Source organism: Homo sapiens, chromosome Y (assembly GCF_000001405.40).
Source record: "Homo sapiens chromosome Y, GRCh38.p14 Primary Assembly".
Taxonomy (NCBI): domain Eukaryota; kingdom Metazoa; phylum Chordata; class Mammalia; order Primates; family Hominidae; genus Homo; species Homo sapiens.
The window spans coordinates 13129821-13150221 of NC_000024.10; positions in this window are offsets into that span (position 1 = coordinate 13129821).

Sequence of the window (20401 nt, forward strand, 5' to 3'; positions counted from 1 at the left end):
AGCCACTACAGCACATTCGCGTTGCATTGTATTTTAACTTAACCTAGTTCCACCTCTTTCCCTAGCATGCCAGAAAACTTGAAGATGACAGCCCACATACATGGTGCATGTAGTCAGTTTCATAAGCAGCAAAATTAATCTTGCTCCAAGGAAATGAATGGTTTTTGTTTGACTTTAATGGAAATTATTTTATGGACTTTCACAAGGTATGTTCCTTTGCTTTACCTAGCTTGGAGTTCATGTGGTCCTCAAGAAAAGCCAAATGAATAAGCCACTATTGTTGGCAGTAAAACGGCAACAAGAAACTACAATGTTGAGGACCACAGTAGACACCATGATAGCCTAAAAGGACATAGAGTAAAATTTTAGGAGAAAATAGGGTCTTTGAAAGACTGCTACCTATCAGGGACACCTACAAAGCCACACACATGCTTGGGAAACAACTGTAAAGACAATAAGGCAAAAGCTTTAGTGTTTTTTGTGTCTTTACACTCAGGCAAAAAAGAAGGCTAAGACAATGTTGTAAATTGGTCATGCGAAGCGTTGAAGAAGTGTCTCAACATACAGTCAATCAACAAAGACATAGAGAAACATTTCCTTTTTCTCCTCTTCCTCTTTTCTTTCTTATTTGTACATGTAATAATGTTCAAAATATCCACTTTTCTTTTTTTTTTCTTTTTTTTCTTTTATTATTATACTTTAAGTTTTAGGGTACATGTGCAGATTGCACAGGTTAGTTACATAGGTATACATGTGCCATTCTGGTGCGCTGCACCCACTAACTCGTCATCTAGCATTAGGTATATCTCCCAGTGCTATCCCTCCCCGCTCCCCCCACCCCACAGCAGTCCCCAGATTGTGATGTTACCCTTCCTGTGTCCATGTGATCTCATTGTTCAATTCCCACCTATGAGTGAGAATATGCGGTGTTTGGTTTTTTGTTCTTGCAATAGGTTACTGAGAATGATGATTTCCAATTTCATCCATGTCCCTACAAGGGACATGAACTCATCATTTTTTATGGCTGCATAGTATTCCATGATGTATATGTGCCACATTTTCTTAATCCAGTCTATCATTGTTGGACATTTGGGTTGGTTCCAAGTCTTTGCTATTGTGGATAGTGCCGCAATAAACATACTTGTGCATGTGTCTTTATAGCAGCATGATTTATAGTCCTTTGGGTATATACCCAGTAATGGGATGGCTGGGTCAAATGGTATTTCTAGTTCTAGATCCCTGAGGAATCGCCACACTGACTTCCACAATGGTTGAACTAGTTTACAGTCCCACCAACAGTGTAAAAGTGTTCCTATTTCTCCACATCCTCTCCAGCACCTGTTGTTTCCTGACTTTTTAATGATTGCCATTCTAACTGGTGTGAGATGGTATCTCATTGTGGTTTTGATTTGCATTTCTCTGATGGCCAGTGATGATGAACATTTTTTCATGTGTTTTTTGTCTGCATAAATATCTTCTTTTGAGAAGTGTCTGTTCATGTCCTTTGCCCACTTTTTGATGGGGTTGTTTGTTTTTTTCTTGTAAATTTGTTTGAGTTCATTGTAGATTCTGGATATTAGCCCTTTGTCAGATGAGTAGGTTGCGAAAATTTTCTCCCATTTTGTAGGTTGCCTGTTCACTCTGATGGTAGTTTCTTTTGCTGTACAGAAGCTCTTTAGTTTAATTAGATCCCATTTGTCAATTTTGTCTTCTGTTGCCATTGCTTTTGGTGTTTTAGACATGAAGTCCTTGCCCATGCCTATGTCCTGAATGGTATTGCTTAGGTTTTCTTCTAGGGTTTTTATGATTTTAGGTCTAACGTTTAAGTCTTTAATCCATCTTGAATTGATTTTTGTATAAGGTGTAAGGAATGGATCCAGTTTCAGCTTTCTACATATGGCTAGCCAGTTTTCCCAGCACCATTTATTAAATAGGGAATCCTTTCCCCATTGCTTGTTTTTCTCAGGTTTGTCAAAGATCAGATAGTTGTAGGTATGTGGCGTTATTTCTGAGGGCTCTGTTGTGTTCCATTGATCTATATCTCTGTTTTGGTACCAGTACCATGCTCTTTTGGTTACTGTAGCCTTGTAGTATAGTTTGAAGTCAGGTAGTGTGATGCCTCCAGCTTTGTTCTTTTGGCTTAGGATTGACTTGGCGATGTGGGCTCTTTTTTGGTTCCATATGAACTTTAAAGTAGTTTTTTCCAATTCTGTGAAGAAAGTCATTGGTAGCTTGATGGGGATGGCATTGAATCTGTAAATTACCTTGGGCACTACGGCCATTTTCACGATATTGATTCTTCCTACCCATGAGCATGGAATGTTTTTCCATTTGTTTGTATCCTCTTTTATTTCCTTGAGCAGTGGTTTGTAGTTCTCCTTGAAGAGGTCCTTCACATCCCTTGTAAGTTGGATTCCTAGGTATTTTATTCTCTTTGAAGCAATTGTGAATGGGAGTTCACTCATGATTTGGCTCTCTGTCTGTTGTTGGTGTATAGGAATGCTTGTGATTTTTGTACATTGATTTTGTATCCTGAGACTTTGCTGAAGTTGCTTATCAGCTTAAGGAGATTTTGGGCTGAGACAATGGGGTTTTCTAGATATACAATCATGTCGTCTGCAAAGAGGGACAATTTGACTTCCTCTTTTCCTAATTGAATACCCTTTATTTCCTTCTCCTGCCTAATTGCCCTGGCCAGAACTTCCAACACTATGTTGAATAGGAGTGGTGAGAGAGGGCATCCCTATCTTGTGCCAGTTTTCAAAGGGAATGCTTCCAGTTTTTTCCCATTCAGTAATGCTATTGGCTGTGGGTTTGTCATAGATAGCTCTTATTATTTTGAAATATGTCCCACCAATACCTAATTTATTGAGAGTTTTTAGCATGAAGTGTTGTTGAATTTTGTCAAAGGCCTTTTCTGCATCTATTGAGATAATCATGTGGTTTTTGTCTTTGGCTCGGTTTATATGCTGGATTACATTTATTGATTTGTGTATATTGAACCAGCCTTGCATGCCAGGGATGAAGCCCACTTGATCATGGTGGGTAAGCTTTTTGATGTGCTGCTGGATTCATTTTGCCAGTATTTTATTGAGGATTTTTGCATCAATGTTCATCAAGGATATTGGTCTAAAATTCTCTTTTTTGGTTGTGTCTCTGCCAGGCTTTGGTATCAGGATGATGCTGGCCTCATAAAATGAGTTAGGGAGGATTCCCTGTTTTTCTATTGATTGGAATAGTTTCAGAAGGAATGGTACCAGTTCCTCCTTGTACCTCTGGTAGAATTCGGCTGTGAATCCATCTGGTCCTGGACTCTTTTTGGTTGGTAAGCTATTGATTATTGCCACAATTTCAGATCCTGTTATTGGTCTATTCAGAGATTCAACTTCTTCCTGTTTTAGTCTTGGGAGAGTGTATGTGTCGAGGAATTTATCCATTTCTTCTAGATTTCCTAGTTTATTTGCGTAGAGGTGTTTGTAGCATTCTCTGATGGTAGTTTGTGTTTCTGTGGGATCGGTGGTGATATCCCCTTTATCATTTTTTATTGCATCTATTTGATTCCTCTCTCTTTTTTCTTTATTAGTCTTGCTAGCAGTCTATCAATTTTGTTGATCCTTTCAATAAACCAGCTCCTGGATTCATTAATTTCTTGAAGGGTTTTTTGTGTCTCTATTTTCTTCAGTTCTGCTCTGATTTTAGTTATTTCTTGCCTTCTGCTAGCTTTTGAATGTGTTTGCTCTTGCTTTCTAGTTCTTTTAATTGTGATGTTAGGGTGTCAATTTTGGATCTTTCCTGCTTTCTCTTGTGGGCATTTAGTGCTATAAATTTCCCTCTACACACTACTTTGAATGCGTCCCAGAGATTCTTGTATGTTGTGTCTTTGTTCTCGTTGGTTTCAAAGAACATCTTTATTTCTGCCTTCATTTCGTTATGTACCCAGTAGTCATTCAGGAGCAGGTTGTTCAGTTTCCATGTAGTTGAGCGGTTTTGAGTGAGATTCTTAATCCTGAATTCTAGTTTGATTGCACTGTGGTCTGAGAGATAGTTTGTTATAATTTGTGTTCTTTTACATTTGCTGAGGAGAGCTTTACTTCCAACTATGTGGTCAATTTTGGAATAGGTGTGGTGTGGTGCTGAAAAAAATGTATATTCTGTTGATTTGGGGTGGGGAGTTCTGTAAATGTCTATTAGGTCTGCTTGGTGCAGAGCTGAGTTCAATTCCTGGGTATCCTTGTTGACTTTCTGTCTCGTTGATCTGTCTAATGTTGACAGTGGGGTGTTAAAGTCTCCCATTATTAATGTGTGGGAGTCTAAGTCTCTTTGTAGGTCACTCAGGACTTGCTTTATGAATCTGGGTGCTCCTATATTGGGTGCATATATATTTAGGATAGTTAGCTCTTCTTGTTGAATTGATCCCTTTACCATTATGTAATGGCCTTCTTTGTCTCTTTTGGTCTTTGTTGTTTTAAAGTCTGTTTTATCAGAGACTAGGATTGCAACCCCTGCCTTTTTTTGTTTTCCATTTGCTTGGTAGATCTTCCTCCATCCTTTTATTTTGAGCCTATGTGTGTCTCTGCACATGAGATGGGTTTCCTGAATACAGCACACTGATGGGTCTTGACTCTTTATCCAATTTGTCAGTCTGTGTCTTTTAATTGGAGCATTTAGTCCATTTACATTTAAAGTTAATATTGTTATGTGTGAATTTGATCCTGTCATTATGATGTTAGCTGGTTATTTTGCTCATTAGTTGATGCAGTTTCTTCCTAGTCTTGATGGTCTTTACATTTTGGCATGATTTTGCAGCGGCTGGTACTGGTTGTTCATTGCCATGTTTAGCGCTTCCTTCAGGAGCTCTTTTAGGACAAGCCTGGTGGTGACAAAATCTCTCAGCATTTGCTTGTCTGTAAAGTATTTTATTTCTCCTTCACTTATGAAGCTTAGTTTGGCTGGATATGAAATTCTGGGTTGAAAATACTTTTCTTTAAGAATGTTGAATATTGACCCCCACTCTCTTCTGGCTTGTAGGGTTTCTGCCGAGAGATCCGCTGTTAGTCTGATGGGCTTCCCTTTGAGGGTAACCCGACCTTTCTCTCTGGCTGCCCTTAACATTTTTTCCTTCATTTCAACTTTGGTGAATCTGACAATTATGTGTCTTGGAGTTGCTCTTCTCGTGGAGTATCTTTGTGGCGTTCTCTGTATTTCCTGAATCTGAACGTTGGCCTGCCTTGTTAGATTGGGGAAGTTCTCCTGGATAATATCCTGCAGAGTGTTTTCCAACTTGGTTCCATTCTCCCCATCACTTTCAGGTACACCAATCAGACGTAGATTTGGTCTTTTCACAGAGTCCCATATTTCTTGGAGGCTTTGCTCATTTCTTTTTATTCTTTTTTCTCTAAACTTCCCTTCTCTCTTCATTTCATTCATTTCATCTTCGATTGCTGATACCCTTTCTTCCAGTTGATCGCATCAGCTCCTGAGGCTTCTGCATTCTTCATGTAGTTCTCGAGTCTTGGTTTTCAGCTCCATCAGCTCCTTTAAGCACTTCTCTGTATTGGTTATTCTAGTTATACATTCTTCTAAATTTTTTTCAAAGTTTTCAGCTTCTTTGCCTTTGGTTTGAATGTCCTCCCGTAGCTCAGAGTAATTTGATCATCTGAAGCCTCCTTCTCTCAGCTCGTCAAAGTCGTTCTCCGTCCAGCTTTGTTTCATTGCCGGTGAGGAACTGCGTTCCTTTGGAAGAGGAGAGTCACTGCGTTTTAGAGTTTCCAGCTTTTCTGTTCTGTTTTTTCCCCATCTTTGTGGTTTTATCTACTTTTGGTCTTTGATGATGGTGATGTACAGATGGGTTTTTGGTGTGGATGTCCTTTCAGTTTGTTAGTTTTCCTTCTAACAGACAGGACCCTCAGCTGCAGGTCTGTTGGAGTACGCTGCCGTGTGAGGTGTCAGTGTGCCCCTGCTGGGGGGTGCCTCCCAGTTAGGCTGCTCGGGGGTCAGGGGTCAGGGACCCACTTGAGGAGGCAGTCTGCCCGTTCTCAGATCTCCAGCTGCGTACTGGGAGAACCACTGCTCTCTTCAAAGCTGTCTGACAGGGACATTTAAGTCTGCAGAGGTTACTGCTGTCTTTTTGTTTGTCTGTGCCCCGCCCCCAGAGGTGGAGCCTACAGAGGCACGCAAGCCTCCTTGAGCTGTGGTGGGCTCCACCCAGTTGGAGCTTCCCGGCTGCTTTGTTTACCTAATCAAGCCTGGGCAATGGCGGGCGCCCCTCCCCCAGCCTCGCTGCCGCCTTGCAGTTTGATCTCAGACTGCTGTGCTAGCAATCAGCGAGACTCCGTGGGCGTAGGACCCTCCGAGCCAGGTGCGGGTTATAATCTCGTGCTGCACCGTTTTTTAAGCCCATCGGAAAAGCGCAGTATTTGGGTGGGAGTGACCCGATTTTCCAGGTGCCATCCGTCACCCCTTTCTTTGACTAGGAAAGGGAACTCCCTGACCCCTTGTGCTTCCCAAGTGAGGCAATGCCTCGCCGTGCTTCGGCTGGTGCATGGTGCGCGCACCCACTGACCTGCGCCCACTCTCTGGCACTCCCTAGTGAGATGAACCTGGTACCTCAGATGGAAATGCAGAAATCACCCTCTTCTGCTTCGCTCACGCTGGGAGCTGTAGACCGGAGCTGTTCCTATTTGGCCATCTTGGCTTCTTCCAAAATATCCACTTTTCAACAAAACAGATGAAGAATGCAAAGAGACAAGAAAGCACACTCATTCACAGGAAAAAAAGTTAACAAAAACTATTTTTGGGGAACCAAAATGTTGGGTTTAGACAAACTTTAAATCAACTGTTCTATATGCTTAAACAACTAATAGAAATTGAAGACAAAGAACTAAAGATAATCAAGAAAAATATATAAGAATAGAAATGTAGGTAAGACGTAATTATTTTAAAAGATTACAAATAGTAATTTTAGAGTTGAAAATACATTATGTGAAATAAAAAATCCACTAGGGAGGTTCAGAAGCATATTGAAGCTAAGAAAAAAAAAAAAGAGTCTGGGCATGGTGGCTCATGCCGCTAATCCTAGCACTTTGGGAGGCTGAGAAAGGCACATCATGATGTCAAGAGTTTGAGACCATCCTGGCCAACATGGTGAAACCGTGTCTCTACTACAATACAAAAAATTCGCCAGTTGTGGTGGTGCACCCCTGTAGTCCCAGCTACTCAGTAGGCTGAGGCAGGGGAATTGCTTGAACCCAGGAGGTGGAGGTTGGAGTGAGCTGAGATCATGCCACTGCACTTCAGCCTGGCAACAGAGCAAGACTCTGCCTCAAGAAAAAAGAAAAAGAAAAAAAAATAAGAATAAGTGATCTTGCAGATAAGTACATTGTAATCCTCTAGTCTGAGTAGAAAAGAAAAAGATTAAAAAAAAAAAATCATACTCTTAGAGACTTGTGGGACATGACCAAATGACTACTATATGCCTTTTGTGAGTCCAAAGTTGGAAATAAGATGAAAAGACAGATAATATTTGAAGAAATAACAGGTAAAATCTCCCAAATTTGATAAAATACATGAATCTAAAAACTTAAGAAGATTCATGAACTCTAAGCAGAATCAACTAATAAAAGAGATTCACACTGAGACACAATATAATCAAACTGGAAAAAGACAAAAAACGGAGAACTTTGAAAGCAGCTAGAGAGAAGCAAAGTGTGAAAATGGGATCCTTGATAACATTAAAAGCCCATTAAACACCATAAATCCAGGCCTTAGAATGGCATATTCAAAGCACTAAAAGAAACCACATTAACCATGAATTTTATTGCAGCAACAATTCTCAATGAAAAATAAAGGTGAAACTAAGTCATTTCCAGACAAACAAATTGATTATTTTGCTATCTGCCCTATAGCAATAAAATAAAAAGGCACAGGACAGAAAATTGATACTACATGAAGAAATAAAAACACTGGCAAAGGCAAATATACAGCTAAATACAAAAGCCATTATTATTAAAATTTTGGTTGTGTAACTCCTTTTTCTATACAATTTTAAAGAAAAATGCATAAAACAATAGTTTTCAATCTATCTCAAGGGACACACAACTTACAAAGATATAATCTGTGACACTACAATATAAAGGTGGTGAGATGTGCCTGCAGCTTCCTAATCTAGAGTTTTTATATACTATTAAATTTAAATTGGTATTAATCCAATAGGTTTTGATAAAGTTAAAGGTTAAAATGATCATTTTAATCCCCAGGCTAACAGTTAAGAAAACGATTTTAAAAATACCGAATAGTAAATAAAAGGGAATTCAAAATGACATTACAGACAACCAGTTAAACAAAATAGAAGAGAGTTGTGGTAGAATTGAGGAACAAAGGAGATACGACACATAGAAACAAGTAGCAAAATGGCAGAAGTAACTCTTTCCTTATTTAAATTATGTTAAATGTAAATAGATTAAACTCACCAATTTGAAGACAGATTGGCAGAGTACGATCAGTAAAATAGAAGATTACGAAGCTACAGACCCAGCTTTTCTCAGAGAGTCACCCAGATAACAATACTATATGGACCAGAACATCTTTGTGAGAACGCTAAAGACATGCTGACAAAAAAACAGCCCCCAGGCCAACATAAAACCCAGATGGGATACTAGCAAGTAGTTAGAAAATTTGAAGCATTTTCATACCTGTCTATGTCCCTTCCCCTAGGAAAACCACAGTTGTTTTGCAGTGAGTAGGTATATGCGAATCTATGCCTAAAGGCCAATGGAGCTGAGAGGCCAAGGAAAGAGGCTGACAGGGTAAGTCATGGTGGCTCATACCTGTAATCCCAGCACTTTGGGAGGCAGAGGTTGGAGGATCACTTGACATCAAAAGTTCAAGCCCAGCCTGGCCCACATGGTGAAACCCCATCTCTGCTAAAAATACCAAAATTAGCTGGGCATGTTGGTACGTGCCTATAATCTCAGCTACTCAGGAGGCTGAGGCAGGAGAATCATTTGAATTTGGGAGATGGAATTTGCAGTGAGCTGAGATCACACCACTGTGGTTTTCCTAGGGGAAGGGACATAGTTGTCCACTGTACTCCAGCCTGGGCAACAGAGAGAAACTATCTCAAAATAAAAAAAAAAAAAAAGAAAGTAAGAGGCTGATAAATCGTTTCTCAGAAAAAAAAACTACCTAACAGAGACAAACAGAAGTGATATATCGGCAGCTGCAAGATGGTGAGTCCCTGCACCAACTCCCAGAAAGTGTTCTTTATAAAAGGAAGCATTTTGGGTGAAGATGTGCAAATAGGTGAAGATGTGCATCTGGTCATGCCTAAGACTTTCTTGGAAAACTTGTGGCCATTGGGGAGTTTATATAAGCATCTTTATGAGGGCTTAGCAATGCTACAGGGATTGTTTAAAGACCTTGCTGCAGGTGTAAAGTATTGATCATGATGTCAGTTTTGCTTCAAAATGACATTACTCTTGCCATATAACAAGTTGTTCTCCTGTAATAGCATATCCAGGAGAAAACCTCCCTAAACTAAGAATTGTTATTTGGCAGAGGAAACGGCATTTTGCATTCAGTGTTTTGATTTGTCTGAGATTTTCTGTGATACTAGTTTCACCTAAACACTATCAGGACTGGCAGCATAACTTGAAAGCTGATGAAAAACGTGGAGACTACAGCCATTTAGAGACACAGTCCTGCATGCAAAACCTAGAGGAATCAACATCTCAGGAAAAATCTGGGATGTTCCAAAGCCTCTGGGCTGATTGGTCAAGGTCTTCCTTTGATCTAAGCCAGTATGTTAAGACTAGAACAGATGTGTCCCTTTTTTTCCTTCAACAGTTCAAATTGCAGCAAAAGTTTACATACCATTGAAAGAAACAGATAATTGTGGCCAAATTATAGAAATTAAAATGAAATTCAAGTGACCAAACCTAAAGAAATGAAGATCTATAAGCAGTCAGACAAAAACTTAAAATAACTGCCATGAGAATTCCTGAAAACTAAACAAAATCAGGAAATAAAATATGAACAAAAAGATAAATTCAACAAAGTAGAAATCATTTAAAAAGCTACAACATCTAGGCTGGGCATGGTGGCTCACGCCTGTAATCCCAGCACTTTGGTAGGCTGAGGTGTGTGGATCACCTGAGGTAAGGAGTTTGAGACCAGCCTGACCAACATGGTGAAACCCTGTCTCTACTAAAAATATGAAAATTAGCCTGTCCTGGTAGCACATGCCTGTAATCCCAGCTACTTTGGAGGCTGAGGCAAAAGAATTGCTTGAACCCAGGGGGCGGAGTTTGCAGTGAGCCGAGATCATGCCATTGCACTCCAGACTGGGCAACAAGAGTGAAACTCCATCTCAGAAACAAAACAAAACCAAACAAAAACAAACCTACAACATCTAGACAGAATTTTTTTTAAACAGAAAAATTCTGTATATGGATTAAATAGCATTTGAAATAATCAAGTCAGAGATTCAAAAAGTAAAAAGAGTAAAGAAAAATAAAGAGGCCAAGGAATTTATCATATATTATCAAACAGAGCAATATAAGCATTATGGGAATCCCAAAAGAAAGCAAGAAAGAAACAGAAAACATATGTGAAGAAATAATATACCAACATTTCCTAATTCTGAGGAGAGAAAAAGATATACAAATTCAAGAAGCTCAAACATTTTTGAAAGAGAAAAAACTCAAGAGAACCACACCAAGATATATTATATCACATTGACTAAAGTCAGAAAAAATGTTGAAAGCAGAAAGACAAAAGTGACTCACTGGCCAGGCACAGTGGCTCAAGCCTGTAATCTCAGCACTTTGCGAGGCTGAGGCGAGTGGATCACCTGAGGTCAGGAGTTCAAGACCAGCCTGACTAACATGGAGAAACCCTGTCTCTACTAAAAATATAAAATTAGCTGGGCGTGGTGGCGCATGCCTGTAATCCCACCTACTCAGGAGCCTGAGGCAGGAGAATCACTTGAAACTGGGAAGTGGATGTTGAGGTGGGCTGAGATCACACCATTGTACTCCAGCCTGGACAACAAGAGCAAAAAACTCTGTCTCAAAAAAAAAAAAAAAAAAACTAAATAAAATAAAAAAACTAAAAAAAAAAGAAAGTGACTCATCACACACAAAGAAGCTTCAATAAGATTATGAAGGGATTTCTCAACAGAAACCTCACAAGGCAAAAAAAAGAGTGGGAGAAAATATGCAAAACACTGAAAGAAAAAACTGTCGGTGGTATCTGACAAAACTTTTCTTCAGAAATGAAGACTTTCCAAAATGAGTAAATGCTGAGGATGTACATTATCATCAGACCTACTGTATAAGAAATGCTAAAAGCAGTCTTTCACGTTGAAATGAAGACGGTGGACAGAAACATGATGTCATAGAGAAATATAAAATTATCCAGTAAAGATAAATACATGAACAAACATAGTAAACTGTATTATTTAATTTTGGTGCATAGAACATGAAGACAAAACTTAAAAAACACAAATCTATGTTAATAAGTAACAATATATAAACATGTAATGTATGACATAAATGAGGTGAAACTAAAAGAGTAGACTTTTACTAAGTTTAGAATGTATAATTTTAATACAGTTCATGTAATTACAATGATAATCACACAGAATGTATATATACACAAAAAGATATGAGCAGAAATTCAAAACGTGTTACTAAAAATGAAATGAAACAGAAAGACAAGACAAGACAGAGAAAAGTAAGAAATACTTGGGAACAGTGAGTGTTTCCCTATATTCTGAGTACTTTTGGAGGCCAAGGTGGGCAAATCACATGAGCCCAGAAGTTTGAGACCAGCCTGGATAATGTGACTTTTTTAAATTTACAAACTAAAAAGAAAAACAGAAAATAGTAATTAGCTGTGTGTGGTAGCACACACCTGTAGTCCCAGCTATTCCAGAGGTTGAGATGGGAGTATCACCTGAGCCAGGGAGGTTGATGCTGCAGTAAGCTGTGATCACACCACGGCGCTCCAGCCTGGGTATTAGAGTGAGACCCTATCTCAAAAAGAAAAGTAAATGAAATATACTTTTCAATCAAGAGATGTAGATTGCCTAAATGCATTAAAAAGTCCAAATAAATCCTGTCTACAATAAATTCACTTTAGATCTAAGGACATAGACTGAAAGTGACAGGACAGAAAAATGTATTCCATAATATGGAAAAATATATTCCAGTATAATAAAAACAGCACAGACATGGCTGTCATAATGAAAAAAAAATTGAGTTAAAAGCTGTTAGACAATGTTATTATATAAGAATAAAAAGGTTATTTTAGTAAAAATATAAAAAGAATATAATTATTTGCACTAACACCAACCTGTTCCTAAATATGTTCCTAACTGTTCCAGACAGTTCCTAAATATGTAAATCAAATATTGACAGGACTGAAGTGAAAAATAGACAGCAACACAATAATAGACGTGTTTGACATCTCAGTTTAAATAATAGAATGACATAGATGATCAACAGAAATATAGAGGAGTTGAACAACATTATAGACAAATTGGAACAAATAGACATAAATAGAATACTTTATCCAGAATACACATTCTTCTCAAGCTCCACAAAAACGATCTCGAGAATGGACCACATGTTAGGCCACAAAACCAGTCTTAACAAATATAAGATGAATGAAATCATACAAAGTGTCTTCTTCAATAACAATCAAATGAAAGAAAATCAACAGAAGGAAAAAAATCCATAAATATGTGAAAACCATACTGCATACTTTTAGACAATGAGTCAAGTAAGTCACAAGGGGTATTAAAAAACACTTGGAGATAAATTCAAGGAAAATATAACATACCAAAACTTATGGGATACAGCTAAAGCCATGCAGTGACAGAAATTTATGGATGTAAATACGCACATTCAAAAAGAAAAAAAAAGACTTAAATCAACAACCTAATTTCACACTGAAGGGAACTAGGAAAAAAACAGATGAAAGTGAAAGTTAGCAAAAGGAAGGGAAAAAGAAACAGATTAAAGCAGAGATAAATTAAATAGATAATTTTAAAAAACAATAGAAATGTCAGTGATACTACGAAATGGTTTTCTTAAAAAAAACCCAACAAAATTAACATACCTTTTGGTACATTTGCTATGAAAAGAGAAATGAATCAAATAATTAAAATCAGGAATGAAAGAGAAAATATCACAGAAATAAAATTGTAAAAATACTATAAATAACTGTATAAAAACAAACTGGGTAATAGATAAAAATGAAGGACTGGTTAAAAATTCCTAGAAACACACCACCTACCAAGACTCATTCACTAATAGAAAATCTTGACAGACCAGTAACTTATTAATAAGATGAAATTAATAATGAAAAACCTTCCAACAATGAAAAGCCCAGGACCAGTGGCTTCACACCAAAGCCAAAAATACCAGAAGCAAAGAAAATCACAGATTAATATTCTTGATGAATACTGGTGTGAAAATGATTAATAAAATACTAGAAAACTGACACACTGAAATAATTATACACCATGAACAAGTGGGATTTATTTCTGGGATACAAGAATAGTTCGACACATGAAAATTATTAGTGTAATATATCACTTTAGTACAATAAAAGTTAAAAATGCAATCATCTCAATCAATGCAGAACAGCATTTGACAAAATTTAACACTCTGTCATGATGAAAAACACTCAAAACTAGGAAACACAGGAAAACAACCTCAACATAATAAAAGCCATATATGAAAAGCAGACTAGGAAAACAGGAAACTATGAAACATAGGGAAACAACCTCAACATAATAAAAGCCATATATGAAAAGCAGACAGCTAGTGACATCTGCAAGTTGGTAGAATAATGAGTACCAGCCCTTGACTCCCACAGACACACCAGTTGGACAATATATGAATCAAAATACCTTTATAAGCAGTCCCTAATCAAGTGAACAATGTGCAGTACCCCAGAAAGACTCCTCTCCTAGTTCTGCACTGCCAAAAGAGATTCCACTGGCCCATGACTTCTCCTGTGTGGGTGGGTGTGTGTGTGTGTGTGTGTGTGTGTGTGTGTGTGTGTGTGTGTGTGACGGGAGAGGGGTTGAAGGGGAGTGCAGTATGTATCCTAAACCCTGACTTTTTAGTGCACTGCCCAAGGGATTTGTTTCTGCATCACCTCACCTGGAACACTGAGGAAAATGGCATAGTTCAGATGCCTAGGGGCAGATAAGAAAAAAGAAAATGGGTGGGCAGCTTTCAATAGTTGCACAGCTTGTTGAGATTGGGAAAAGGTGGCACACTATGTGAGACATTCCTCATCCCCCAGTAGGAAAAGAAGAGTGGAGTGTTCATTCAACATCTTGGTCTTTCGGTGCACCCAAAGGATTGGGTGGCTTTCTCTACCCAACATGGTTCTGCAAGATTGGGAGATGGTACATAATTCTGAGACTTCTTCAAGAACAAGGGACAAGTGTGGAATGTGAATCTAACATCCTGATCTTTTGTGCACTGTCCTAGGGATAAGTGGGGAAAGGTATTTCTCGCTTTTCACTGCAGACTATAGAGCACTGCATATTCACTGCAGACTATTGAGCAGTGTAAGTTTAAGAGAAGGCATAGAATTCTGATATCGCTCCCCAGGAATGAGGGAGAAAAACCAGCTGTGTACATACATAGAAACAATTTGAGAGGGTCCTAGAATCTTTAGCCAGTCTGATTGGTAAAGATGTTTCTCTGCCAAATTCATCTGTAAATACCGGGAAAGATAGTTTATTTTCTTCAAATGCACAAACACCAGTGCAAAACTACAAGAAATACAATGAATGAGGGATATATGGCACAAGCAAAGAAATAAAGTGATCTCCATTAACTGAAAGATCTATGAATGGCCTAACAAAAATTCAAAATAATCATCAATTATTGTAAATTCAAAAGTCAGTAAGCTTCAAGTGAATATGGCTGGGCAACTAAATGAAATAAGAAAAATGATGCATTAACAAAATCACAATGTCAACAAACAAATAGAAACCATAAAAAGAACAAGATATTTTTCAGCTGAAAAATACAATAACTCAACTATAAAACTGAACATAGAGATTCAACAGCAGAGGAGACCAAACAAAAAAATCAGCATACTTGAAGACAGATGTTTATAAATTATCCAGCCAGAGGAATAAAAAACAAAGAGTGAGGAAAGACTAAGGGACTGCAGGGACAACATCAAATGAATCAATATAGAAGTTCTAAGAGTTTTAGAAGAGAAAGAGAAGGGGACAGAAAGCTTAAAGAAATAATGGCAAAACTTTCCAGGAACTGGAGAGGTAAATAGAGATCCTGATTCATGAAGTGCAAGGGATCCCAAGGATGAGGAATCCAGAGAAGTCTATGCTGAGACACAGTACAATCAAACTGTCAAAGGACCAATAGAGAATGTTAAAAGTAGCAAGGAAAAGGGACATATTCTTTTTGTAAAGTCATGAACAGATTTCTTCAAACAAGTTTTGCAAGCCAGAAAGAAGCAGGATAATAAATGCAAAAAAAAAAAAAAGGATATAAATTGCCAACAAAACCCTATTCTGAGGAAAATTGTCCTTCAAAAATAAAAGAGAAAGATTTTCCAAAATAAACAAACACAGAAACAAAGACAAAAATAAAGGGAATTCATTACCACTAGATGTGCTTTACAAGAAATCCTACTACTAGTTTTTTTAAATTAAAATGAAAGGATGATCTAAACGGTAAAACAAACAAATAAAAAACCCCACAAAGACATGAATGTATAAAAGTAACTGCTAAGGTTGAAACATAAACAAATACAGAATAAATAATACTATAATGGTAGTATGTAAATCACTTTTAATTTTAAAGTTAAAGATGACATTTTTTAATTGTTAATTTTAATTTTTGTAGATACATGGTAGATGTATATATTATGGAGTACATGAAATATTTTGATACGGGCATGCAATGCATAATTATATCATGGAAAATGGGGTATGCGTTCCCTCAAACATTTATCCTTGGTGTTACAAACAATCCAGTTATATTCATTTAGTTATTCTTAAAGGCATAATTAGATTATTATTGACTATAATCACTCTGTTGTGTTATCAAATAATAGGTCTTGTTCATTCTTTCTATTTTTGTTTTCTTTTGTTTTGTTTGGGTACTCATTAACTATCCCCAGCTCTCTTCCACACCACTCCAAATTACCCTTTCCAGCCTCTGATAACCATTCTTTTACTCTCTAGCTCCATAAGCTGAGATAACAGTACCTTAAAATATAACTACAAAAATTTAATGGATATAATTGTGACAAAAATATTACCATGGAAGGAGAAATGTGTAGAATTTGGATGTGATTGATTGAAGTCAGCTTAAAATAGAATGTTATAAGATGCTACATGTCAACCCCATTTTTACTGCAAGAAAAAACCCTCTTTAAACATGAATGGACTAAACTTCCCAATCAAATGAGGTACAGTGGCTAAAACAAACAAAAAACTCAATTATTAGGTGTCTACAAGACACGCACTTTAGAGTAATAGACACACATAAAGTAATGGGATAAAGAAATAAATATATTTCATTCAAATGGTAAGAAAAAGAGAGTAGTACTTTCAAGCACTACTTGAAAGTTTATAGCAACAAAATATACTGTAAAAAGAAAAAAATGGCCAGGCACAGTGGCTCACACTTGTAATCCCATCATTTTGGGAGGCTAAGGTGGGTGGGTTACTTGAGGTCAGGAATTTGAGACCAGCCTGGCCGACATGGGAAACCCTGTCTTTACTAAAAATGCAAAAATTAGCAGGGCATGGTAACATAGTCCTGTAATCCCAGCCACTCAGGAAGCTGAGCCAGGAGAATTGCTTGACCCTGGGAGGCCAAGGTTGTAGACAGCAGAGACTGTATCACTGCACTCAAGTCTGGGTAACAGAGTGAGACTCTGTCTTAAAAAAATGGAAAGAAAAACTCTCCCTAACTTTATACTTGGACTATTAAGGGAGGCAAGGGGAGAGAAAACCATGTCCAAAGTTAGCAGAAGATGGAAATAATAAAAATTAGAGGAAATATAAATAGAAGTTAGAAAATAAAATAATACAGAAAGTACATGAAACTATGCTTTTTTAAAACAATATTGATAAATCTTAGCTAGACTAAGAAAAAAGAGAGAAGACTCAAATACAATTAGAGATAAAGGCAGATATTATAACTTCTCATGTCACTGATGCCACAAACATAAAATCGTAATAGATTACCTATGAAAAATAACTATTGGGTACCAGGCTTAATACCTGGATGACAAAATAATCTTTATAACAAACCCCCATGATACAAGTTTACCTCTGTAACAAACCTGCACATGTTCCCTTGAACTAAAAAGTTAAAAAAAAATTAACATTTTTAAAAACAGAAATAAGACAAGTGTGGTGGCTCACACCTGTAATCCCAACAATTTGGGAGGCTAAGGCGGGTAGATTGCTTGAGCCCAGAAGTTTAAGACCAGGCTGGGCAATATGGTGAATCCCTATCTCTTTAAAAAATCCAAAAAAAAAAAAAAATTACCTGGCATGGTAATACTGTAGTCTCAGCTACTCAGAAGGTTGAGACATGAGGATCTCTCAAACCTGGGGAGCAGATGTGGCAGTGAGCCAAGATTGTACCACTGCACTCCAGCCTGGGTGACAGAGAGAAACTCTGTCTCAAAAAACAAACAAACAAACAAAAAACAGAAAGAAAACAAAATCCTAAAATTCATATGGAACCATGAGAGACCACAGATGGCCAAAATGATGTTGAGTATAAAGAAAAAAACACTTGAAGAAGCACACTTGTATTTTCAAAATATATTACAAAACTACAGTAATTAAAATGGTATAATACTGGCACAAAGACAGATATATACCAATGGAATAAACTATAGGCCAGAAATAAATACACATATATACAGTCAACTAACATTTGAATATTGCTGCCCAAAATACTCAGTGGGGGAAAAATGACCTCCTCAAATAATGTTGGGAAACTGTATATCCATAGGGAAAATAATAAAACTGAACTCACACCACACACACACCATCAAACTCAAATGAGTTAAAGACTGCTTAAATGTAAGACCTAAAACTATAAAACTAGTAGAGAAAGCATAGGAGAAAAGCTTGATGGGCTTAGGCTTCGTAATTAGTTCTTTAGCACCAATAATAATACAGGAGTTATTAAGAAATTCTTTTTGAGATGGAGTCTTGCACTGTCACCCAGGCTGGAGTGTAGTGGCACGATCTCAGCTCACTGCAACCTCCACCTCCCAGGTTCAAGAGATTCTGCCGCCTCAGCCTCCTGAGTGCTGAGATTACAGGCAACCGCCACCACACCTGGCTAATTTTTTTGTATTTTTAGTAGAGACAGGGCTTTACTATGTTGGCCAGGCTGGTCTCAATCTCCTGACCTCATGATCTGCTCACCTTGGCCTCCCAAAGTGCTGGGATTACAGGCGTGAGCCACCGTGCCAGGCCAATAAATTCTTTTTAGACAGCTAGAAAGGATAAAAGAGTTATTGGTGAAATTTTCCTTTAATAAAAAGCAGCTTGATAGATATACAAACTAGAAAATTACATATTTAAATGCCAGGAGTTGTACCTGGAAGCCAGGTACATTCAATATGGCATTTTTCACTCTCTTTTCCTTGTCACCATGTGTACAAGTGTCATGACAGTCACCAGGTGGAAGATGCATTTACATAATAAAAGATTAGGGTGAGAGGCCAGTCTTTTCTCAGGCTGTGTAAATGGCACACCTGGTCAAACCAACCCCCTGGGTCCTATGTAAATCAATCACCACCTCCTCAAGTCTCTGTACAAAATTGATTGTGTTCTACCCCAAACTGGAGACCTTCTCTTGGGCCACCCGTTCTCTCAGCGTAAAGAAGCTTTTGCTCTGTTTCCTCTTTCTTGTCTTTTTTTTTTTTTTTTTTTTTTTTTGAGATGGAGTCTTGGTCTGTTGCCTAGGCTGGAGTGCAATGGCACAATCTCAGCTCACTGCAACCTCCATCTCCTGATTCAAGTGATTCTCCTGCCTCAGCCCCCCAAGTAGCCAGGACTATAAGCATGTGACACCACCCTGTCTAATTTTTTAATTTTTGGTAGAGACAAAGTTTTGCTTTGTTGGCAAGGATGGTCTCGAACTCCTGATCTCAAGTGATCCACCCACTTCAGCCTTCCAAATTTCTTGTATTACGGGCATGAGCCACCATGCCCAGCTCTTTTTTGTCTATTAAGTTATCCATTCCTAAACCACTCCTCTTGTGTGTCTGTCTCCTGAATTATTTCTCTGCATGAGACAAAGAAGCAGGGCACATACCCCAGAAAACAAAGCCATTTCATTTGGGGGCTTGATCCCAATCCAGGATTGGGATCAGAACAGAAAATAGAAACATTGGAGTGGTCAGTATAGAGTGAACTTTAAACTGTCCTTTAATCTCAAGGCTCTCTTCAAACTGGTTTCCTTTCACAGAGGTACTAATCATTGTGCAAGGCTGGGAGAAGTCTGGAGCCACTGATGATTTCTGAACAGGGCACACCCTGGCATTATTCAAAGGCTTCTGGACAAGCCAGCCTCTGACAGCCCATCCAGGTGTTGGTAATGGATCTCCAGCTATCCTGTCAAAAAATGTTCCTAAATTTTACTTCCTTTCTACCAGTGTTCACAATTTCTCCTATTCTGTCTGTGTGTGCAATGTGCGGGAAGTTTTACTTTCACTTTTCTTTGCATTTTAAAGTTCTCACTGAGAGTTTATAAAGATTTTTATTAAACTTGTTTCCAAGTGTTTATGTTTTTGTTGCTATTGTAATTTAAATTATCTTTTTCATTTGATTTTCTAATTGTTTGCTGTTATAATGGTAAATAAAAATGTAACTTTTCTAGAGTCAGTTTGCATCAGTTAAGTCTACTTATTACTTCCATTAGTTATCTTAAAGTTTCCTTAAGATTTTCTTTGCAAATAGTCACGTTATTTATGAATATATATGGCGTTATTTCTTCCTTTATTTTATGCATATTACTTCTTTCTTGTGAAGACTAGAATTTCCAGTACAATGTCAAATATATGTGGTTAGAGTTTCCTATTTGAAAGAGAAAGCATTCAATATTTCACCAATTAAGAATGATAGATTTCTGTAAGTTTCCCAAAGATGCCTTTCATGAGCTTGCAGAAATAACCCTAAAGAGCTTTTGTAATAAATAACTATTGAATTTTTTCAAGTGCTTTTTCTGTATCTACTTAAATTATCTTTTTTTTCTTATTTTGTTAGTATGGTAAATTACATTAATTGATGCCAAATGTTAAATCAACCTTGCATTCTTAAGATAAATCCCACTTTGTCCAAACCCATAGAGCATGCACAGCCAAG